This window comes from Homo sapiens, chromosome 20, assembly GCF_000001405.40.
Source record: "Homo sapiens chromosome 20, GRCh38.p14 Primary Assembly".
In the NCBI taxonomy this organism is placed as follows: domain Eukaryota; kingdom Metazoa; phylum Chordata; class Mammalia; order Primates; family Hominidae; genus Homo; species Homo sapiens.
In genome coordinates this window covers 37,735,767-37,760,473 of record NC_000020.11, presented here as the reverse complement: position 1 = coordinate 37,760,473, position 24,707 = coordinate 37,735,767, and the positions used below count along the sequence as shown (strand labels likewise).

The window sequence follows — 24,707 nt, the reverse complement described above, 5'->3', positions numbered from 1 at the left end:
GTGCTAGAACAACACATCCTGCTGAGGTGATGAGTCTGGAAAAAACTCAAAAGGGAAGAGATAAAGGGATGAGAGGTAGTATTCCAGGTAGCCCCAGAGAAGCAAGGCTAGGCAAGTGGAAGGCAAAGCATGAGCGAAGGCATGGGACTACCTAGCACATGGCAAGTTTGGGGACTGGCAAGTAGAAAAATGACTGTAATTTAATCATCATTCTCAAGAAGTCCAAAGTCATCTTTGGAGAGGTAAGCCAGAGAATTGCCATCAAAGCAATATACCCTCTCGCTTACCACTCTTCAGAAAAGAGTCCATTTTCCAGGCTACCAGATCAACTTGTTACAAAGCACAAATATTTGCCTTTTGCGTAAGTAACAGCAGTGGATATGAACCAAATTTTAAAACCCCGAAGATCCCTGAGAATGCCAGGACAGTGTTCTTTCCCCACAAATGTGCCATCCTATTGCTTAGGACTTCCAACTGGGAAAAAGACCAAAGCAATAACTGCAAACTGCACACCACAATAAATTCTGCCACATGCCCTCTAGCCTCTGCTCGTGCAATTCTAGGCCTCAGATATTGGCCTCAAATTAAAACTACAAAGACAACTCAACCCTTGTAATATGAGAGTACTTATCAAATTTCTTCCTGAATGCAGCCAAGAGTAAAAAAAGTAAATGGAAGACCACCGCTGGTTCTGTTCTCTGATATTTACTGATGACTTCCGACTGGTTGCAGACAAGCAAATAATCTACTGGAGTCCAGGAATGTTCAATGCTTGTGATTCCTACCAGCCCCACCAGGATAAACCTGTAAGAGTCAAAATCTTAAACTAATATAATAATAATAAAAATAAAAACTAAACTAAACAAACAGAACATCCTGTATAGCAGTTACCTAGTGGCTCCCCAGACTGAGGGTGAACTGTTTCTTTCCAAACAAACAATAAAATCTGCCAAGATGCAGCTTTTGTCAGTGGGCTTGACAACACAGAAAAAACAAAGGGGGCTTTTGAGTGAATTGCTGTTTCTGGGTATGTTTTACATGCAACAGCCAGGCTAGCTGTTCCTCTCTCGTCTTCCCTATTCAGACAGGCAAAGGATGGTAATTAAAATCAGCCCAGGGACCAAGCAGGAAGGCTCATTCAGGGCCATGTAATTAACCTCTGGAAGGTAAGACTGCACAAACGACACTGCAGGGACACAGAGTAGGAGCAAGTGCCACAGTCTTTCCTCAGACGCCCCTCAAAACAAAACGACATCCCAACATCATCCTCTTCTTTCTGCACAGTGGTTCAAACGAAAAATAAATGCCCTGAATTCTACAAAAGTAGCAGTTTGCTCTCTAAAGGAGCCTGAAAGAAAAATGGCCATAGAAATTTTCATTATATTCGGTCATAAATGGCCCTGCTGGACACTAGCCTCACTCTCTGTAAGAGCCAGTTCTTCATAACCAGTGGGTTCACAACCCCTTCATTCACACCAAATGCCAACAGCAAGCACGGCACATGGGAAATTTCTAGTGTCGAGAACATTATGAGAAAGGGTGAGGAGGGGGTGGGCAGTGTAGCAGTGGGGTTTCGGGATCATCTGGGACCCCAGGCCCAGCCATTCTGATTCAGTGGGTCTTGGGTAGGACTAGAAAGTAGCCAAACAAGCAGCCCAGGTGCTTCTAATACTAGTGGCTGGAGTAATCTTTGATCAACTGCTAACTGAGTCAAAACCAATACTAACATTCTTACCAGAGAGAAAAGACAAGAGAAACAACAGAAGAAGAACAATCCACAGAGCCTTGAGGAGGGATACAGCTCTGCAGGTGGACAGAGCTCCACAGGTGGTATCAGGGTAGGGGCTGGACTAGATGCACTTCTGCCGCTGGCCAGCTGGGGTGCCTTTGCAGCTTTGTGGCCCTTTCTGATCACCAGTGAACTGGGGAATCTGGGGCAGTGGAAACAGAATTGTGTTGGGGATCAGAACATGCAGTCTCTTTTATCAGCTGTCACAGGACGGGCTGAGCGACCCAGCGGGAGGCTTCACTTCTGCAGCTGGGTTTCCTCACATGTAAGGCAGTTTGCCTAGCTGGCACCTGGTCACAGCTGCGCCTCACAGACCAACTCCTCTGGGTTAGCTGCTGTGTGGATCAATAGCTAAGGAACATTCTGAGGCCTTGCCTAGGCTCCTCAAAAGATGGCAGAAATCAACTGCCTTGTCGTCTACAGGCAGGGAATGCCATTCTGGCCTCAATGAGCTATAAAGTTTGTTCTTATTTTCGACATTCTCCAATTCCTCTCTGATGACCTATCTGTAAAATAAGTAATAATAATAATACCTGTTCTCACTGGCACTTGGGATTAGAAAGTCCAGATGAGAAAAACATTTGTGAAAGCTCTTTGTAAAAAGGTCAGTAGCAACAAAAGAGAGGAGGGAAGAAAGGGGCAGAAAACATAGAGTCTAGGAGACCACAGGTTCAAATCCTGGCTGTGTGACCATGGGCCATTTGTTTGGCCTAAGTCACAGCTTCATGGCTGTAAATGGAAATAATAGCAATAATGCCCATGTGAGAGGATGTGGTGAGAAGAATGAGAAATGGCCCTGCCCACAGCAGAGACTTAATAAGGGCGAGGCCTCTACCTGACACAGTCCCAAAGCATAAAGCACTGCCCCAGCCACATCTCTACTTTTTTACTCTCCTTATTCACTCCAGCCTCACCACACTCCAGCCTTGCCGTGGAGTTCCACCTGGTGGCCACTCTCCGAGACGATGGTGGTGGCAATGCCAACAACTTATACAAACCTGCAAAACCCCAGAGGATGTGCAACTTACCAGAGCATCGATGAGCACTTCTGCTCCCTCTTCACTCTCATGGAGGGTGTCTATATCTGTTAATTCCTGAAGCAAATCGACCACAGCTATGGACACATGTGAAAAATGTTAAGGGTATAACACACATACTGAAACGGTACCAGTATTTTTCTTAATCCTTGATTCCCTTCCGTTTCCTCATCAATTGCTTTATCACCATCTACCTTTAATAGACTCCAGTTTTATTAACATCTCTTCAACAAGGTTCTACCCACAGCAGGTGTTCATTAAATGTTAACTGACTCACTCAGTCTCTTGCCTTATGCTGCCTTCCTGGCTGCTTAGTCCACAGGTTCACTGAATTTTCACAGATTTCAAAATTTTAAATAGATCGCCTGGGAAGTCACTTCCAGTGAGAAATAGGCCAACACCCTCAACCTCATCTCATAATTTAAATTCTTGAAACTCAGTATAATCTTAACTACCTTGTACAGTTCACCTTTGAAGGCAGTAATAATTTCTGAGAAGAGGTGGCTGATGTTCACCAAGGAGTCTTCAGAGATCAGGACATGATATAATTGGTTGAAAACAAAGGGAAAAATTTATATGGAATTGGGCTAGTCCCCACCAACCTCTGTCCCTTCAAATGTCACACTGCTGTGAATATAAAAGGAAGAATACAGAATTTAAAATTGTGCAAAAATAGGAAAAGGAAAGGGAAGTACAGGGCCAGGCACAGTGGCTCATGCCTGTAATAACACCCAGCACTTTGGAAGGCCAAGGCAGGAGGACTGCTTGAGCTCAGGAGTTTGAAACCAGCCTGGGCAACATAGTGAGACCTTGACTCTACTAAACATTTAGAAAAAAAAAAAATCAGCCAGGCATGGTGGCACATGCCTGTAGTCCCAGAAACTTGGGAGGCTAAGGTGGGAGGCTTGCTTGAGTTCAGGAGATCGAGGCTGCAGTGAGCTATGATCGTGTCACTGCACTCCAGCCTGGGAAACAGAGTGAGACCCTGTCTCAAAGAAAAAAAAAAAAAAAAAAGAAAGGGAGAGAGAGAGAAAAGAAAAGAAAGGGAAGTATAAAGAAAAGAAAACATGAAGGAGAGAAAGAGTTATATTTGGAAACTGGGTGGCAGAACTAAACTTATAAGTTTCCTTTCCCTCACCTTAAAACTCCCTCTCTCTCTCTCTCACACACACACACAGACACACACACACACATACACACACGGGTGCACACACACACAACGGGGGAGAGAGAGAGAGAGAGAGAGAAACAGACACCTTGCTCCAGCAAACTGCATTTATTGAATGCCCATGATGACTAAAGTACTGAACATGATAAAGGCCAATCCATTCTTCATTCTGGGCCTCAGTTTCCTCATCTGTAAAATGAGAAAGATAGATAATCTAAAACAATTTTAAAAACCATACACCACAGGACATAACCAACATGTAACAAATGAAGAATACACACAGACAATATGAACTGCAGGCGTCCTGAAAAGGAGCAATCAGATGGAGCTGGGGAATTAGTTATGACTTGCTAGAAGAAGACTGCTCAGAAAACAGGCAACTAAAAATATGAGGACAGGGAGACTAGAAAGCAAAACCAAAGGAATAAAAGCAGAGAGACTGGAATGTACAAAGGCATTTGAAGAGAAGAAAGGATTGGAGGAGAGGGGAAGGAAGTGGAAAAGGGAGAGAAAATTGTAACTAGCTGAAGAAAATAGTATTTGGAAAGAATAAGCTAAAAGCTGTGTGCAGGACGCACTAAAGCACGGTGAGCATGAGGGACGGGGGTGGCACACAGGAGCCACCATGTGGACAGCATGTGTGGGTAGTTGTGGGAGCCAGGCCTGAAGGAGAAAGACCTATTCCAAAGCTACTACATACAACAGAATCCAGAAGATTCAACAAAGGTCAGAATCAGGGCAGTTTCACTTAAAAGAAAAAATAAAAGATGCAGAATATAAGAACAAGAATGACAGGACTTGCTAGCTGATGACTGATGTTCTGGGTATTACATGCAGGTCTTTTGCTGAAAGAAAAATTACTTGAAGGTTTGCTTTACTCATCTCTAACTGACCAGCTGACCATCACGAATAATTAACTATGCTTTCTGTGTCTTACTCCTTCACTCTTAAAGGTGATATTTACCCAAAACTTAATATGAGTAAAGAGCTTAAAGGTCTTTGGACAAAAGTCCTTCATGCTTAGCATCTTCATCTAAAAAATAATCAGAAAGCTGTTGACAGAGTCAACATATATGCCTGATACAGAGTAAACCGAAACACACAAATTATTTGAATCAATTATAATAAAAAACAGCAAAAATAACCAGGTTAGCAAACTAACCCCTAGAAACCCTAGAGCTACCCTTGACTAGCAGGAATTAGTAGTTCTCCCTCTCTAAAATTAAAAGTTGTCATAATAATAGCCGCCATTTTTAAAAGTCACAGCATCATGTCTGGTGCTATGCTACTGGAATTCTTTCAGCAGCATTATAAGATTCGGTGTAAGCACTATTTAACAGATAAGAAAGGTAAAGCTAGTAGTGGTTAAGATCTCTGGCCTGTGGTGGCTCATGCCTATAATTCTAGCACTTTGGGAGGCCGAGGTGGGCGGATTACTTGAGGTCAGGAGTTCAAGACCAGCCTGGCCAATATGGTGAAACCTGTCTCTACTAAAAATACAAAAATCAGACAGGTGTGGTGGCACATGCCTGTAATCCCAGCTACTCAGGAGGCTGAGGCAGGAGAATTGTTTGAACCCAGGAGTTGGAGGCTGCAATGAGCTGAGATTGTGCCACTGCACTCCAGCCTGGGTGATAAAGCGAGACCCTGTCTCAAAAAAAAAAAAAAGTTATCTAAAGGTCACTGCAATAGTAAGGGAGAATGTTAGGTCCATCTGATTTCAATAACAATGCTATTGCCAACTATACTTCATATTAATGCATAAGGGGATATACACTCAGTTTAAACACGGCTACATTCAGGTTAATTCTAGCTATTGACCCTGTTGTAACCACAGAGAAAAGAACTATCATTTAATTCCACCATAAATTAGTAAAAGACTCAAGGAAAAGAATAAAATGTTAACACCTCCCCACTCTTCCAAGAAACTCCCATATTTATTCTCTTGAAAAGTTCATAATCCATTCAAATGCTTATTTAATATGCATAGCAACATTCACCTAAATCCATCCATCCACCCATCCACCCACTGTGGAGTCAGATGTCTACAGGACAACTGGGCTGGGCACGGTGGCTTACACCTATAATCCCAGCACTTTGGGAGGCCAAGGCAGGAGGATTGCCTGAGTCCAGGAGTTTGAAACCAGCCTGGGCAACATAGTGAGACCCAGTCTCTCAAAAAAAAAAAAAAAAAAAAGCAAATAAATAAATACATAAATAAGATGTCTATAGAACAAGGATCTAAATCAGCATGCAATAATGCAATAAGTAGTGTTATCATTACATCTCTTGAATAACACCATGCATGATTAAATTCTAGTTAATAAACTTATTAACTAGTATGTGATGATTATTAAACAGTAGCCTCAAAAAGACAAGTGGAGTATATCTGAAAGACCAACAGATGAAGAGTCAATGCAAGCTTGAGGACAAGGGTCATGTCATATTCATCTTTGCCTCACATGGTCCCAAAATTATCACCAGCCATGTAATCTTGTGCAAGCCCCTTTATTTCCTTACAGCTTAATTTCCTCATCTGTAAAACTGGGGTCGTGTCATATTCATCTTTGCCTCACATCTTTAGTGACCTGAATGGTCCCAAAATTATCACCAGCCATGTAATCTTGTGCAAGCTCCTTTATTTCCCTACAGCTTAATTTCCTCATCTGTAAAACTAGGGTAATAGTCTCTGCCCAGCCTCTTCCACTGAGTAGCTATAAGGAATAAATGAGATCAGGTATGTCAAAGGCCAAGGAAGTTAAAATACTCAAGAACTATGAAAGCACTATAATACAGATTGTCTTCCCACAGAATGCCCAAAGCGCTCACTATTGCCTTCATTTTTCCAAAAGCCTCTAAAATCTGAAGTTTAAGCTAACAAGAGCATGGTCCCCCCTTTCCGGGTCACAATGGGTTGGAAGACCTAATTTCATATTTCAGCTATGCCACAGAGATTCAGATTGATCAAGTCCTTTTTCAGCCTCTAAGGTCTTGTGGGCCAGATATCACATTTTTCTTTGATTAGTCTTATACCATGTTCACAAATGTGTCACATGAAACCTAGAAACTTAAAAAATAAGAAACATTTTAGACAAAAGTGATTTTATAGAAGAGCATAAATGGCTTTTCCAGGAAAACTTGTTTCTTATCATATTTCAGTGGTATCTCCTTGCCTACTTTCCTGCCTCAGTTGAGAAGTCAAACAAGAAATCAGCTACCTACCAGGCCTGGTAAACATCTCATCAATCCTACCACTAACTGATTTTATATAAATTCCCAACTTTCACAAAATAGCATTTCAGCAAGGCAGTAATAAGTCTGTAATTGTCATCATCAACTCCTGAGTAATACAATATGACCCAGGAGACAGAGGTCATTTGAAGACCAGAAAGAGGAATGAGAATCAAAACTAAAGACAGACAAACTCTCAATCTTGATGAGAAAATTCAGCATGGTTGGCTATCCCTCCAGCATTTCTTCACAAGCAGACTCTGGGCATGGGTGATAGGTTTTTCCTCTGTAGTTACAATTTCATTTCACAAGGTAAAAGGCTCTTCTGTCCAAGTATAATAGGAAAAGAGAGAGCCTGTCTCCCTGCGAATTACTAAAACACAGTTTTTGATAGCCTATTTTGTCATGTCGAGTAGAAAGGCCACCCACGCACTCCCTCTGTACCTGTCCACTACTGGGGCAATAAGTTAGTGTAATAATAGGTAAACCAGAAAAGACCAGCTGGGCACGAAATGGTCCATAACACAATGGCTCTTGGAAAAAAAGAGTGGTGTTTACTTCTATTTTTTGGCTGTGGATATTTGTTTTGGAGCCATATCCCACTTAGAGTCTTGGTACAGAAATTAAGCATTAATCTCATTAATCTCCAATGAGATGACTCCACAAGGAACAAAGTTATTAAAAAAAAAAAAGAGAAATAAGATGTATTAAGCAGATGGCTTTTTAAAAGTCATTTCAAAAAGGCTTTCTTAAGACAAATAAACCAGTATAGATTCAGAGAATATAACTGATTAATGCAATAAATGTGAGTTAAAAAATATCTTTTCTTTAATTTCTAGACTAGGACAGTAATTAGATATAGCTCAATTAATGCAGATGAATTTCAAAACAGACAAAATGGTCTTTTTCTCCTTTTAAAGCAGCTGGCACAAAGCCACCTAGAATGAACCTGGACTCTTATCCCCATCCTAGATCAAACTAATATGAAGGAGAAAATGTACTCATTCAACATTTATTAAGTCCTTCTTAAATGCCAGTGGGGAGTAACATGCCACAGGGGAAATGTCCAAGGCAGGCTACAACCACCCTAATCTTCCAGGGACATAGATTTTACCTAAAACCCATAAACAAGACCAAAAGTTACATTAATGTGGTACCAGGTTTTGTGTGTTTGTCTGTTTGTTTCAAGTTACATTAAAAGATCCTTCTTCTACATTGCCATTTTGGCACTTTTAACCTAAGATGTTTATCTTCAGAGCACATTTAATTGGTTCCAAAAAATAAGTGGCTTATCAATACATATCAAGGAAGTCAGATGACAGATGAGAAAAAGAAGTAAATTCTTCTAAATGTAATTTTAATTCTGGAAATATCAAGACAAATATAGCTCCTAGCAAAATAACAGCTCAAAATATGTAAGTCTTGTTAGACAGTGCTTACGGGACAGCAATGGAGCAAATACCAACTCCCTCCCAGTCCAATTAGAAGAAAGCCCCTTAGGGGGCTCAAATCCTTCCCAGCCCTATTCTTGCTCATTAGCACTGGGTCTGTAACACAAGGCACCCTTGACTACTGTACGCACCTTCTGGGATAACACGGTAAGTCTCAGTCAGTTTGTTCCACTTTAGTATTCTCAGACCCAGACTACTCAAGTTCAGTTGATCCCTGTTGGTCTAAAAAACCTGTCTCCTCCGTATTTTCCGAATTCCCACAGTAATTCTTCACAAAACTCACTTGACAACTCTGTAAGTTCTCCTGGTTTTCTAGAATCAGAAGAAAACTAAACAGTCATTTGGAAAAGAACAGTGTTAATGACCACTCCCTAAATTATTCCACACCAAAAAGAGCTGCCCCATCAGCACAATGATCTACTCTGCCACTTAAAAATTTTTCCCTGCTTAAATATTAGCATGCAACCCAATGTACTGGTGCCTTAAGTTAACATCACAATGAGACCTCATTTTTCTGTCTCACAAAGGGGTGGAGAGAAAGCTGACTTTGAATAAATTGGGTTTAGATTACTGGATTATTATTATTATTATTATTAAAGAATAAAGGCATTTAGCTGGGAAGCAGTAGTCATGATTTTTTTTTTTAATTAAGCCATGGACCCGATACCTTGATAAATTTGTAGTGACTACATGGGCAGCCAGCAAGACCACATCAGCTTCCATCCGGAGTAGGAGGAATGGCAATTTCCACTGCAAAGGGAGAGACTACAAAAATAAACCTGAAATGCATGCTAATCTCCATGTCTGTCAAAAGCTTACCCATCTCCACTCCCCACACCCCCAAGCCAGAGATGACCCACACCTTCTCAGGGCTCCAATCAGTGGTGTTTCCTGAGCATACTGTTCCCAAGGCACTTTCCACACACACCATGGTGGGGGAGGGTGGTAATTTGAGAGTTTTTGCTTTAAACTGGAGTTATTATTTTTTATTAGCATCCAACACACTTAGCATACAAAGGAAGAACCCAGTAAATAACAGTGATCTACCAAAAAAACTTTAGAAGGGACTCAACTGACCACTCAAATTAAGAACATGGCAAAAGACATACAAAAACAGAATATTTATCAATTTGGTGCCATGTGATCGTTGTTGTGGTTTGTTTTTTTCCCTTTTATTCCTCCTTGTTCCTTTGGGCCAACTGAGTAAATCTGGCTTAAAGCAGTCCACAAAAATGGATTTTTTAGCAATACCTTAAGAAAATATCTTTAAATGTACCTTTGGTTTTATTTTTCCATAGAAACACTCTAAAAGGTTCACAAGAAAGGAGCTCTAAACACGTTTAATGAATTACTTTAAAGGAAAAAGTGTTTAAAAAGCATTATTTTGAAAAGGCAGCAGCTGCTGGATTCCACCTTCTGCTGCCTCCGACTGCATTTAGAGTAACCCTCCAAAACCATGTGAGGTGTGTGCTCCCCACCCCCAAGATATGCTCTTCACAGATCAGAATCCATTCTGCAGCCAACCGATAGCTGGGCTCCAGCCTCTCAAGGGGGCAGATGAGGCACAGAAGCGCTGACAAGCCCTCACCAGCAGCAGTGATGCAGAGCGCCAGAATAAACTCTGAAGCTGCTTCTCACGGTTGAAAGGATGAGGCACAAGCTGTTTTCTCACATCCTCTGCCTCTTAAGGTTACAACAAACCAGGCTCTGATTGAATTAAAATCCCTACAGTTTATGTTTTCACAGAGGAGGATGAAGCAAAGATGACCTGTGCTTGCTGGGAACATAACCAGCCATATATGGTCTTGGTTGATAAATGAAGAGTTAAAAAAGATTAAAAATTTAAGTCATGACTGCCATGAAATTGTTTATTCATGCTAAGGTGTTTTGGGCAGTTACAGCTGTACAACAGTAAATTGTTAACAACCGTTTCCTGAAGAAAAATTTCTATTATAGATCACAGATAAGACAAGCAGCAGAGTGCAATGTTGCAGGGAGAGCAACATTACGACCAACAGAGGATATGGTAGATGCAAGTCAAGAGGACCTGCCCTTTCCTGAAATCACTTTCAAGAAAAATCGTACTTTGAGGAGGATGACATTTACCCCTATTTGCTGCCTCTAATTAAAATTAAGGTAATTTAAAAAATTTCAAATGCACTTTAAATTTGATGTAAGACATAATTAAACATCAGATTTTAAAAAATATCATTAGGGCAGTTGGGTGCAGGTTGGCATACAAGAGGAAAAAAAAAACAGTTTAGCTCTCAGAAAACAGGAGGGAAATGGCAATCTGTCAAAGTTATTATAGGGGGATGTGTTTTTTCCCTTTTTAAAGACCAGAACTTAACAACTTGGAACATCTGTGCCCTTGCCTTTCCCAAATATGCCGATGTCGAGCAGCGTTTTTTGTGTCAGTCTTCTCCCCGGCAGGAGCCAGGCTGGTGAATCAGCAAAATGTCAGTATCTTCCAAAAGCAGCTACTATTATTTTGAGTTAGCAGGAATAGAAAAAAGAATGAGAGTGGTGTTTCCAGAAAGAAAATAAGTCATTTCTGTACTAATAATATACAGGGTAACAGGTGACCATGCGACTCTGTCAGCAATGTCGTAAATCCCACAGGAAGACCTGAGGTGCACTGGAGGAACACCGGACTGAAAATCACAGACCTGGAGTGCCTGTCTTAACTTCAAGTTAGCTGTCCAACATCTGGACTTCACACTTGTCACTAAGTAGAAACAAACAAGGTACTGAGCTAAGTCCTCTCTAAGGTCTGATCAGATTCTGAAATCTACCCTTCTGTAGGTGAACTGAAATGTGAAGTAACAACCAGAACTCGTAGTCACTGAGTCTGTGAACACCATTAGTGCCCAGAATAGAGCTAGGCATATGGCAGTTACCTGCCAAAGATGGAATGTTTATATCCCCCCACAGATTCATATGTTGAAGCCTATCCCCAATGTGATGGTACTTGGAGGTGGGGCCCTTGGGATTAGTGTCCTAAAAAGAGACACAGCGAGCTCCCTCACTCCTTCCACCATGTGAGGACGCAGTGAGAAAACAGCTATCTACAAACCTGGAAGCAGACCCTCACCAGACACCAAAACTGCTGGTGCCTTGGTCTTGAACTTCCCAGTCTCCAGAACTGTGAGAAATAAATTTTTGTTGTTTATAAGCCACCCAGTTTACGGTATTTTGTTATAGCAGCCCAAATAGACCAAGACAATACCCAATATATACTTACTGACTGATGCTGCTTGAGCAACCAGCACAGCTTATGGTTCCTAAGGGCCTAGCACAGTGCCTGGTACATCATGAGCACTCACAGCAGCTCTACTGAATGAATTTCATGAGACCATACACTGAGCTCACTCAGCAGCAAGCTAACTAGGGTTCTTATACAACCCAGAACCCCACAGCAAACCCTGGTGAACAAAGTCATAAATCTGGGAGCTAACAGATCAATTCTTGATGCTATCTAACATTACATGAAGCATCAGAAATGTCTTAAGACTGCCCTTCAAGAAGCCTGCATTAAAATTACTCACTGATTTATTTCTATGAGAATTATCAGCCAGGCAAGAACTTAGTCAGACACGCTCTCAGGAGAGAGATTACCAGAAAGATGAAAATAACATGAAGCAACAGCAGATTCCCTGTGAATATCACTCAAGCAGACTAACTACATTTGTCTCTTACCTTTGGAAATCTGGATTCAAACAGAACAACTACTAGAAGAGAATTTGGTTTAATGAACATAACCCTGTCCACAGGCACATCAAAAGCCTTTGCAATAAAGCTACTGCACACCTGATAGCCAAGATAAAGTATAAAATGGTTTTGGAAGTCACGAATCAGATTCAGTGACAAGTAACATTTACCAAGTACCTACTATGTATCAAGAACTGTGCTCAGCACTTATACACTCCTTTGATCCTCTCAGTAACATGGAAAGCTACTCCAGAGGCTGAGGCAAAATCACTTGAGGCCAGGAGATTGAGTCCAGCCTGGGCAACATTGCAAGATCCATCTCCAAAAAATTAAATAAAAAAAAAATTAGCTAGGCATGGTGGTATGCACCTGTAGTCCCTCCTCAGGAGGCTAAGGAGTAGGATCACTTAGGCCTAGGAGTTTGAGGCTGTAGTGAGCTATGATTATGCCACTGCACTTCAGTCAGGGTGACAAAGCAAGACCCTGTCTCTAAAAACAAATAAAAATAAAAATAACACTGAAAGACAAAAGTTATTAACTCTATCTGTGCAAAAAAGAATACAAGTTGTGGAAGGGCACCGTCTTTCACACAAAAATGCGGTTGAGAGTCAAACCTAGATTGTCTGTTTAGGTCCAACATGCACTCAACAAATATTAAATGCTATTTACTGTGTACTCAGTCTTTTTTTTTTTTTTTTTTTTTTTTTTGAGATGGAGTCCCACTCACTCTGTTGCCCAGAGTAGCATACAGTGGCATGATCTCGGCTCACTGCAACCTCTGCCTCCCAGGTTCAAGAGCTTTTCCTGCCTCAGCCTCCCGAGTAGCTGGAACTACAGGCGTGCACCACCACGTCCAGTTAATTTTTATATTTTTAGAGATAGGGTTTCGCTATGTTGGCCAGGGTGGTCTCAAACTGCTGACCTTAAGTAATCCAACCACCTTGGCCTCCCAAAGTCTTGGGATTACAGGCACAAGCCACCACACTCAGCCTTGTTTTTAGGAACTAGGAATGAACAAAACAGAACAGCTTCCCTGTCCTCCTGGACATCCAAATGTGCTTTTTACCATGGTTCACTATCTCTAGTCTCAACTCCACTGGACCATCAGTCAGCAGAAAGATGCCTAGATTTACACATTCAAATCTGTCTGGCTTTGCCCCCATAAGGGGCCTTCCAATCCAGATCCTGAAAAGTAAAGCTGTTAATGTATGAACAGATATATCACGATGAATTCTAGTACTAATAAGAGCAAATAGGACAATTTTAAGGATTGCCCAAGATTTGCAAGATTTGTTAATAGAGAAAAACCAGGTTTTCAAATGAGTAAAAAGCATTGTGTGTTTCAAGACAGAAGATAATTAGAATGGAAACAGAACATCAGATTTTATAGCACACATCTACAAAGAGAGACAGGAGAAAGAGTAACAGCACTTCCCCACCATGTCAGCTCTCCTACTGAGGTCAGATCTGAAAGGATATCTGTATTATCGTGTCCGAGCAAGCCGAGAAGCGACTGTACAGCATTCAGCTCCACCAGAAGGTGGTACAGGTCTGGCATGGTGGCCACCACGTGCATCTCCTGAATGATGTCATTTAGGTCCAGCTCGGATTCCATGAACCTAGGAGGGAAAACAAGACATCATTAGAAGGAAAGGGGCACTATCAGCAATGAGGAGCAAACAGCAACAATCTAGACAACAAGGCAATCTGTCAAAGTGTCTACAACAGACCAACCAAGAAGTACACTCATCCAAACATCATACTGTCACACAATTTCCTTGGGAAATCGATTTCCTCATTACAAAAATCAATCTTGGATTCAGATCTCATTACAGGGTTCCCTTACTCTTGCAGTCACAAGCTGCCTTTCAGAGGCTCCCGAAGCATTTTGTAGCACTAAACGATCTTTCCACCAGTCCTATAGATTAGCCACCATTACCCCTTGGTGTGGCAATTCACTCTGTTGCCCTGAACATAGTTATCCTACTACCCATCCAAAAAGGGTTTCTCTTACTTCCCACTTCAGATCAAGGGCCAGTTATTCCCCTTACCAAAGAAGATAAGATTTTCTGTATCCAAAAATGCCCTCCCTCTTCCTCCTCTTTGGAGCTGATTCAGAGGCAGATACCAAAGAAAAGCAGACCTAGTCTCTGGCATCCTACAATCACCACCAACTTTACACAGCATGATACTTTACTCACATTTCTATACCTGAACCTTTCAACAAACCTATGCCCAGGCACTAAGAACAGAACTACTTTGCATTCACGCTGCATGCCCTCCCCCGGTGTTTGACATACAAGAAATGCCGATTAAGCCTTGGATGAACAAGACAGGAAGGTTTGTTCTGAGATGGAAATGAGCTAATCTGGTGTAAGGCAACTGAACAATACCTGACTGAGAGTGACTGAGAGGAAGCAGTGGTTAAACTGACTCTGGAGTCAGACTACCTGGGTTTGAACCTGGCTTAGCCACCTACTTAGCCTCTCTATGCCTCAGTTTCTTCTGTAAATAGGGACAATAAGGTTATCTGTCTCACAGGGCCACTGTAAAGAGTAAATGAGTAAGGACATATAAAGCACTGAGAACAATGTCTACCATATAAAAAGCACTATGTAAGTATTTGTTCTCATTACTATTGCTGCTACTATTACTGTAATATGTCTGTCTTCTCTTCTAGAAAGTAAACTTCTTAAAGACAGGAAATGTATCTTTGTCTCTTATATCCACAGATGCCTACTGAATTAAATTGAGGGCACAAAGAAAAGGAACACAAGCAGGGACTCTTGAAGTCACACAGGACTCATCAACTTCCAGATGCTGTGGGGCTGGGTAGATACAGCTTCTCCAAAAATCTGGAGTCGGTAAGCAACAAAATCTAGAGACTTAGAATTCTTTAAAACATGCCCATATTTTAGACAATTTCTATTACTGTTTTTCTCCATTAATATTTTTAAGTATATGCTTATATATTTTTTCCCAATTACAGTATACTTTTTGTAGAAAACCGGAGAAAGAAAAGCAAGCCCTCAAAAATGTAAACAAATTATCCATAAGCCTACTAACCAAAAATAACCATTGATAATACTCTTTATGTTTAAGCCTTTTTCTCAACTCACAGACTCTTAAATTCTGTTTCAGTGTATGATATAAGGCAAAGATCTAACTTTATTTTCTGTGAATGTTTGACCAACCGCTTCAATACCATGTATGTTTGCCTGTATGTTTAAGTCATTCTTCTCAACTCACAGACTTTCCCCCCAAAAAGTAAGCCTATATAGTATATAGTTCTATATTCATTTTGCTGTTGTTGTTAATATAGGCTAAATAATTCCCCTTATCATTATTCTACTACAATAGGAGAAGCCAATACCTGACAAACTGCTATGGGTCCTTCTCCTTCTCCATGGCAAAATCCCTCACTCACCACAGCACTCTTCCCTGCTGAGCCAAGATGGCTGGCCTCAGAATCCTTCTCAACACAGTGTTCCAAGAAGAGACTATGAATCAATCACAGGCTGGGTGTGGCCGATTAAGCTTATCTACAATCCCTGTTCTAAGTCATAGATTAATGGCCACACAATATTCCCTTGAGTAGACGTACTGTGATTTAATTAACCAATCCCCCTTTGTCAGGCATTCAGATAATTTCCATTTCTTTTCCCTTTAACAAATGACACTAAGATGTATGCATTCCTAATTACTGTGTTAGGATAAATTCCCAGGAAGGAAAGGGACAAGTCAAAGAGTACACATGACTTAAATAGATTTTGATATATTTTGCCAGAAAAGTACCAATAGTGCATGAAGTGCCTATTTCCCCTTACCCTCTTCACAAACAGTATCTCCTCCAATTTGAGATAGAAAAGACAACTCATTTTGTATTTTGCATTTCTGATAGTAAGATGGTTAACATTCTTCTAATGTTTACTGTTTGTATTTCTTCTTTGCCCATTCTTATTAGGATGCTCACTTTGTTTATAGATTTATAAACACCGTATATTAAGGAAATTAATCTCTATCCTACACTGCAAAAAAAATAATCAGAGAAAAGTGTTTGCCCTTTAATTTGTACATTGTGCTTTTTGACATAAAGGTTTTTTTTTCCTTTTGACATAAAGGTTTTAAAAAGTTCAAGTAGCAAAATCTTTGCCTTTATGAACTCTATTTTACATGTATCCTGAGCAAGATATTTTCTGTGCTAAAAGAAGATATATTTTATGATGTATTTTTATGTTTATATATTTAAATATTTAATCTATCTGAAATTTATTTTAATGTATTGATATAGGGCACAAATCTAACTTTATTTTCTGCAAATGTTTGGCCAAGTGCTCCAATACTATAATCTATCTTTCCCCAGAGATTTAAAGAAATGTCATCTATCATACACTAAATTTTAATGTGTACTTTATTCTGTTTCTGGGTTTTTCACTCCATTTCATTGATTCGTCTGTAAATTCCTGAGTCAGGACCACACTTCCACATTGTTATAGCTTTATAGTATGTTTTATGTGTGTTACTGCAAACAACTCCCTTGTTGTTTTTATTTTTCAGTGTTTCCTTGCCTGTTCTCACTTATTATTCCAAGTAAATTTCATAACTATTTTAGCAAGATTTTCCCCCAATACCTTTTTTTTAAAAGGCTTCCTTCTCTGCTTGCAAATAGATTATTTTTTTAGATCACTTGAAGTGTGGAAGCTAAATCAGAATCATGACTCAGTAAGGCTGGTGCAGAAGGATTCAAATATTCCATGGGCCAGGAGATCTACATAATCCTTGAACCCAAAGGCCTCAACAAACCTCTAAGGCTTATTTGCCTTATGTGAGTGAGTGTATACAAGATTTCTGGAGAACAACCTGACAAAAGGTTTTTCCAGTTCACTTGGAAGAACTGGCAAGGGAGACTGGGCACTAAACAGTAAAAAAAAAAAAAAAAATTGTGCTGAGTGCAGTATAAGATCTGGTGATTTGGGTGATCGACAGCGAACGTGGTGGCTCATGCCTGTAATCCCAGCACTTTGGGAGGCCAAGGTGGGCGGGTCACTTGAGGTCGGGAGTTTGAGACCTGCCTGGCCAACAGAGTGAAACCCCGTCTCTACTAAAAACACAAAAATTAACTAGGTGTGGTGGCGCACACTTGTAATCCCAGCTACTCGAGAAGCTGAGGCAGGAGAATTGCTTGAACCTGGGAGGTGGAGGTTGCAGTGAGCTAAGATCGTGCCACTGCACTCCAGCCTCGGCAATGCAGTGAGACTCTGTCTCAAAAAATAAATAAATAAAGTAATTGAACGATTGTTAGTCACCTGGAGGGGTCTGTCCTTAGGCCTGTTTAGATCAAGTATTTTATTATTTTTTTTTAATCAATAACATGAGCAAAGATAGATAAAGGGCAAAATGAAAAAATGTTATATGACACAAAGCTTAAAGAGACAGTAAGCACAGCAGCTGACAGAATCAATTCAAAAGTTCCTGACAGGCAATAATGATGTGCCAAATCTAACCAAAGGAAAAATACCTGGGATCCACACAGAAAACTGCAATGAACCAAAAAGTCAAGTACAAATGTAAAGGCTGGGAGAGATACAGTTTCATAAGGGCACATGTGTTTCTTTCTGAACTTGATGGCTTTATTGAACCATAACTGTAATACAAATCAGAACATGAGCCAGTTCTGCCAGAGACAATTTCTTATTCATCTCTGGACATCCAGCACCTGACGCAGGCCTTGGTCCAACACAGAAACTTGGGAGATGCCTGTAAATGGGGGCACAGATGAAAACAGCTGCCACAAGTGCTACGGTGGTTTTAGGGTACTTAAAAGAGGACAATACAGAGTTATGCTGATTCAATGACCCTAAAACTTTGTGACATCTGTTCAAGGAACCATCTTTTAGGAGGGATGTGGAAACCAATTCAGGGAAACAACCAAGATTCTAAGGAGTCTAGATACATCTCATATAAGAATTTGTTGAAATGCTTTCTCATTCTGAGTTGAAATTTTAAGAGTCAAAGCTGCCAAATGATGGAATAGCTTTCTTTGGAAAGTTAGATCCTTCTCACTGGGATAGTTAATAAAGGATGACATTAAAAAAAAAAATACCAAGAGTTAGATGGTAGAATAGACTGTGCTTCTCAGTTCCTTCCAACTTTGAAATTCTTCTTCCAAATATGGTCTTAACCCAGTGCTTTTAAGTTTAGGAAGTCAGAAAATTATCAAAATAAAACAAACAAGCAGAGAATAAAACTGCAAGCAGGGAAATATTACAAAAATATACTGGGTCCAGTGTTATGTGAGTAACAAGATACCGTGAGAAATGCTGGACTTGGGAATGAGACTGACCTGGGTCATACTCCCAGCCATGCTATTTACTAGAGGTGTGGCCATGAACAGTGAATTGACAAATATTTACTAGGCACATACTAGGTGCCAGTCACTGTGTTAGGCACTGAGGATATAACAGATAAAATAATCCCAGTTTCTGGCCTCCATTAAATATAAATAATCTATTACAAACCATTAATTATAAGCATGCCTGGTACTACCAAGAGAAGTGTCACTGGAACACAGAGCGTGGTGTCCCAACCTGATCAAGGAAGACACAGAATATTAACTAACTTATTGCTAGACCCTGATTTCCTTATCTTCCTATAGTGAGGATTAAAAGAGATAATATATATACAGTGCCTAATAATAGCTGGCACATACAAGTACTCAATGAATCTATGTACCCTCAAGTTTGTTATAACAGTCGTCTTCTGTTTTGCCTGACCAAGCACAGCCTACTCATGAGCCTACTCATTTAAAGCACACACTACTATTTGCAGAGAACTGTCTTTAGGAATTAGGCATACCTTCAGCAATAGATGACTCACAGCTGGGGGAAAGGATAAAGTTAGAGGTGACGGGAAAGCAATAGAGCAACATATTAAAACAGTAACCCAGGCTGAGATGGGGTCATCGATTCCATCTAATATGACAGAGAATATTTTCCTAGGCTGCCCATGTGCATTTGCTTCAGACCAGCAGGATATTCTCCTTCAACCACAAGGGTGAATATCAGCAAATGACCAGCAAAGTTCAAAAACACTGGGAAAGCCACAGAAATTGGTAAGTCCTAAATGCAATCACTGCTGGGGGAACATGATGCTCCCTCCATCCAAGTAAATCAGCAGTTCTCAAAGTGTAGTCCTAGGACCCCAGGATGGGGTAGCGGGGTGGCTGGAGATCCTTTCAGGGAATTATAAGATCAAAACTATTTTATAATAAATCTAAGACACCATTTGCCTTTTTCACTCTCATTCTTTCAGGAGTGTACAATGGAGTTTTCTGAAGGGCTCCATGACATGATGACATCACTGCCCTGATGGCTAATGAAATGTGTGCTTGTCTATTCTTGTATTTGCCAGAATTTTCTAAGCACTTTGGGATATTCAATAATTTAAGAGTACAAGGAGATCCTGAGACCAAAAAGGTTGAAAATCAGTAAACTAAGTAATTCTGTCCCTGCAAAAATGAAGAGAAGAACTATTAAAGGACTTTCTAGGGAAACAGCACACTCTAGTCAATGTGGTGTTTAGGAGAAAGATCAGGCAGTGCAAATTGGAGGGTGCATAAGGAGAACTGTCAACTGAATCTCAAATGCAGTCAAATGAAGAGAGGCATTTTTGGGTATGCGATCAAAATGACAATTGGATATATGGGAAAATAAATTTGAATGTTTCTGATCTCAACCGGAAAGTTTCATCCGAATACACTCTAGCAATTTTCATCTTAATTTCACCTCGCTGATCTAGAGAATTACGAAAGACACTGCACCAGTGAGAATTCAAGAACTCAAGGTTAAAACACAATGTAGTTTCCTAACTGCTTTTCGACATGAAAAAAAAAAGTTCTTTATGCACAATTTCAATTTTCATATGCTCAGATTTTAAAACTAAAATAGTATATACATTTTGTCTGAATGGAAAACACTACCGATTTTTTTAAATAAAATCACATTGTCTTAAACCCAGTTAATGAACTGTAACACTAAGGTACCTAAGATGTAGATGGTGAACATAACCTGCAGAAACTCTGCTCCAAATTGAGAGACGTGTATCTACCAAGCGGGCGAAGGAAATACTGGTGTTCAAAGAAGTAAACTGAATTTCTTAAATTTCCAGTATCATTACCCGCAGCATAGCTTCCTCATAATGTATCCTTAGGTTCAAGCAATGGGGATGTAATAAAGACGACAGGGACTACATGAGCTCTCTCATGTTTACTGAACACCTACAGCAAGGCAAGTACTGTGGTAGGCACTAGAGACAAACAAGACACCGTCCATCTCCTAAAAGGAACAGAGTCTAATGCAGGAACCACTGAGTACAGAAATAACAACAAAACAAATGGCAAAGATGTTAAAGACTGATCACATGCATTGTGGGCAAGAACACAAGAAAAGAGATGCTGCTGCTGGGGGGAGAATTTAAAAATACAGTGAGAAAATTGGCAGTAGCTATCATTAAAATGTACATACCCTTCAATCTGGGAATTCAAAATTTAGGTATCTATCCTATGGAAATATATGCACACAAAGACACATGTACAAGTAGGTTCACTATAGCATTTTTCATAAAAGCCGATTTTAAAATAATCAAATGTCCATTAATAGAAAATAATTAAATAAGTCATGGTATTTCCAAACCATGAAATACTATGCACCAATTAAAAAAACACAAGGTAGATATGCATGTACCACCTGGACAGATCTGTTAGATGACCCAAAAAATCAAGGTGCAGAATATGCACAGTATGATTTAAGTAGAAACAAATACATTTGCATAATTAACTGTTCACAAGGTTCCTCTAGGCAGAGGAATGGAAAGGGATCAGAGTAGTGAAGGAAAACTTTCATTTTTCACTCTACTCATGTACCACTGGTATTTTCAGAATGACAATCTATTCATGCATTACTTGTGTAATTACACACACACACACACACACACACACACACACACACACAGTGCTCCTGTATGGTGGAGATCAGTACAAAACCTGATAGGACTCTAATGCTGGATAAGCTGGGCCCTGATCTATTAATAGCTACTCCTACTATCAAAGAGGGCTGTGGCCCTAGGCCCAGTAACCACATTCTCCCCACTCTGCCTTCTCATCCACAGCACAGGGACAACATAGTTGACCACGCTGGCCTCTCTAGGTTGCCATGAAGACTCTGTGCCCGCTGACACCTCTGTGCCTTTGTTCATGCTCCTCATATTGCCTGGCATGCCTTCCTGTGTTCTTTTCCGCCTAATAAAAATGAATCTTCAAGGCCCAGCTCAACTACTATCTTTTCTGTGACACCCTCAATAGCCCCCAACTTGGTATTTACTGTTTCTTCTCCTATTATATCTCTTTTAAAGTGTCTGTTTCCTTCTACCTTGCCTTTATAGTCAGTCTCCCTAGTAACCTAAAAACTTGAGTGCAAAGCCTGTACTACTCAATTGTTAATTGCCTGGGGGCCTTGGGCATATTAAGATTCATTAAAATTGTATGTCCTGGGAGGGACAAAGATAGGGAAAGAAAGAGAGGTTTAGAACATTAAAATCGTATAAATGTGAAAGTCCCCTTGGTTAGGATTCAAGACTGACTGAAAGATGCCAGATTCCTCACATAGCACTTCATAGTGCACCAAGGTGCCAGTGTAGTAAAACTCACGTTAACTATCATCTCATGGGCACCTACTATGTGCCAGGTACTAAGCTAAACACTTACATTATTCTCCTTTAATCTTCATACAACCCTGTGAGGAAGGCATTATTTCCTTATACAGATGAGACACCCAAGGCTAAGAAAGGGGAAGTAACTTATTCAAAGGGATGTGTGTATCACACCAATATCTGTCTAACTTCAGAGCCTCTGAAATGATCTCCACAGTAAAGCTATCACTAACGGCAGGCACGATCAGTCTTCTTTGGGCACTGAAAAGAATAATGCAGGAGAGTTAATATGTTAACTGCGGGGCTGATCTTGAAAAGGGCTAGCTTACAAGGCTGGCCCTAGGCTGGCAGCCAGGAATTTGGCTTTTGAAATGTTCCCTAAGTGATAAGGTTGCTGCTTTGTCAGCCCGGGGCACTGAACAGCTGCTTTCCTTCCAGGAGCCTACAATTTTGGTTGTTATTGTTATTACAGGCAGAGAATGCCTACATGACCAGTCCTCCATAAAAACCCTGAACTCAGAGTCTGAAATGGGCTTCCCTGGACAGCATCACTGCACACATGTTGATGCATTTCATTGCTGAAGAAAGAAGCATGTTTGTATAATCCCACCCACTGGGAAGGAGAAAACATAGGAAGCCTGTATCTGAATTTCTCCAGATGCCACCTGATGTGTCTTTTTCTCTTGCTGATCCTGTTGTGTGCCCTGTGTAATAAACCACAGCCCTGAGTATCACTGACTTTGAGTCCTGGGAGTCCTTCTAGTGAATTCCCAAACATGGGGGTCATCCTGGGATTCCTGGCCCAAATCACAAAAGCCAAAACAAACCAAAATCAAAACAAAATTAGCCAACGAAACGCCACAGAGGAGACATGGTATCAGTGGAACAGAACCTTACTTCTCTGGATTGTCTGGAAACTTAATCCGCAATTCTTGGTTTTTATATGATCTCTTTTCAAATGTGAGGATCATTTTCTTCACTGAGCTTTCATCCAATGGCTCCTCCTGGTACAAAGAGACAAATGCAAAAACTTCAGTCCACAGGGGTTTCACATTCATTGTCACTACTTTCCTGTGGCTCTTATACCCCACCTCACTCTGCCATTGACCTTTCTGGGTTCAATGTACAGTACACTTTTTTTGTTTTGTTTTGTTTTTTGAGATGGAGTCTTGCTCTGTCGCCCAGGCTGGAGTACAGTGGTATGATCTCAGCTCACTGCAATCTCTGCCTCTCAGGTTCAAGCGATTCTCCTGCCTCAGCTTACCGAGTAGCTGGGACTACAGGCACATGCCCCCATGCCCGGCTAATTTTTTTGTATTTTTAGTAGAGACAGGGTTTCTTCGTGTTAGCCAGGATGGTCTCGATCTCCTGACCTCGTGATCTGCCCACCTTGGCCTCCCAAAGTGCTGGGATTACAGGTGTGAGCCACTGTGCCCGGCCACAGTACACACTTTATCTCTCTAATTACAATGAGGAGTAAGGGCCTGTAATCACATGCTTCTTTTCGGGTATATCACATTGGGTGTCTCACACAATGCCCACTATCTGTAACACAGAAAATTCGGTTTGAGGTGTTAAAGACTGGGCACTTCAGCACTTCAGGAGTCCAAGGTGGGCAGATCACTTGAGGTCAGGAGTTCAAGACCAGCCTGGCCAACATGGCAAAACCCCATCTCTACTAAAAATACAGGCACATGCCTGTAGTCCCAGCTACTCGGGAGGTTGAGGCATGAGAATCACTTGAACCTGGGAAGCAGAGGTTGCAGTGAGCCGAGACTGTGCCGCTGCACTCCGGCCTGGGTGAGAGAGGGAGACTCTGTCTCAAAAAAAAAAGAAAAGTTGTTAAAGACTCACTCATTCAACAAATATTTCTTGAGCACACTGTATGGCAGAGAGTAAGCAACAATATTAGATAATATTATTATACATTTACCTTGTCATCCTTTGCTATACATGTAAGATAAGACTGACAGGTTTAAAAGAATTGTTTAAGGTCAAACTCTGAGTCAGTGACAGTGACCCTTAATCTTTTCCTACAGCAGAAGTTGGCAAACTGCAGCCCATGAGCCAAATCCAACCTACTGCCTGTTTTTCCACAGTGCGTAAACTAAGAACGGTTGTTAATTAGCTATAGTCACTGCTTAGCATTTCTTATATATTACTTTGCCTGGTACTTACTAGATGCTGAGAAGGAATTCAGACAGGTACTTTGAACCCTGAAGTAGCATCAAGAATTTAGTAACCTTGCCTAGAGAATGCAAAAAAAAGCTAGTAGACTGTACAGAATTTTCTGGCTTCATACATTGGAATAATACCTATGAAAGCAAATAAAATGAATATTTGAAAACTAAATCATTTTTTCTCCAAAAAATCTACACTGAAATTTCACACGTTTTATCTTCAGTTTCCTTCCAGTTTAAATTAATGTGCTGCAATGCACCCTGCTTCTCTTCATACTATCCCAACTCAAAGCTTCACAGCTTTGTAGTCATTGACCATAACTCACACCTAAAAGCAATAAAGAAACTGCTATTAAGAGAACCTGAAATAGATCCTTTTGGAAAGCACTGAATCATCCCATAATTTTATAAGTACTCAAAAATGTTAGCTATTAT

The 24,707-nt window shown here is 40.6% G+C and overlaps 1 protein-coding gene and 1 long non-coding RNA gene across 5 annotated transcripts in view, besides 1 other annotated feature; both read right to left on the bottom strand.

Annotated features, from left to right (window-relative positions):
- The window catches only part of CTNNBL1 (catenin beta like 1), a 178,089-nt gene that overhangs the window by 111,645 nt on the left and 41,737 nt on the right, over positions 1–24,707 (bottom strand). For 3 of the 4 annotated variants that reach the window (XM_024451947.2, NM_001281495.2, NM_030877.5), the window contains 3 exons: positions 22,990–23,096; positions 13,867–14,006; positions 2,818–2,915 (listed from right to left, as the gene is read on the bottom strand). In XM_024451947.2, coding sequence (XP_024307715.1) covers positions 2,818–2,915; positions 13,867–14,006; positions 22,990–23,096 — 345 coding nt within the window. Of the gene's footprint in view, positions 1–2,817; positions 2,916–13,866; positions 14,007–15,760; positions 15,854–22,989; positions 23,097–24,707 lie in introns of those variants that run through there. The other variant, XM_011528917.3, reaches the window with a different exon arrangement.
- On the bottom strand, positions 4,088–13,077 carry LOC124904895 (uncharacterized). The gene is made up of 2 exons (XR_007067575.1): positions 9,344–13,077; positions 4,088–8,988 (listed from the first exon to the last, which is right to left on the bottom strand). It is a non-coding gene; the product is annotated as an uncharacterized LOC124904895 (long non-coding RNA).
- Positions 10,161–10,210: a silencer, noted in NCBI's record as "silent region_12894". NCBI's record gives its function as "represses an Ori minimal core promoter by ATAC-STARR-seq in GM12878 lymphoblastoid cells {active_cell/tissue: GM12878}" and the evidence as "EXISTENCE:reporter gene assay evidence [ECO:0000049][PMID:35858748]".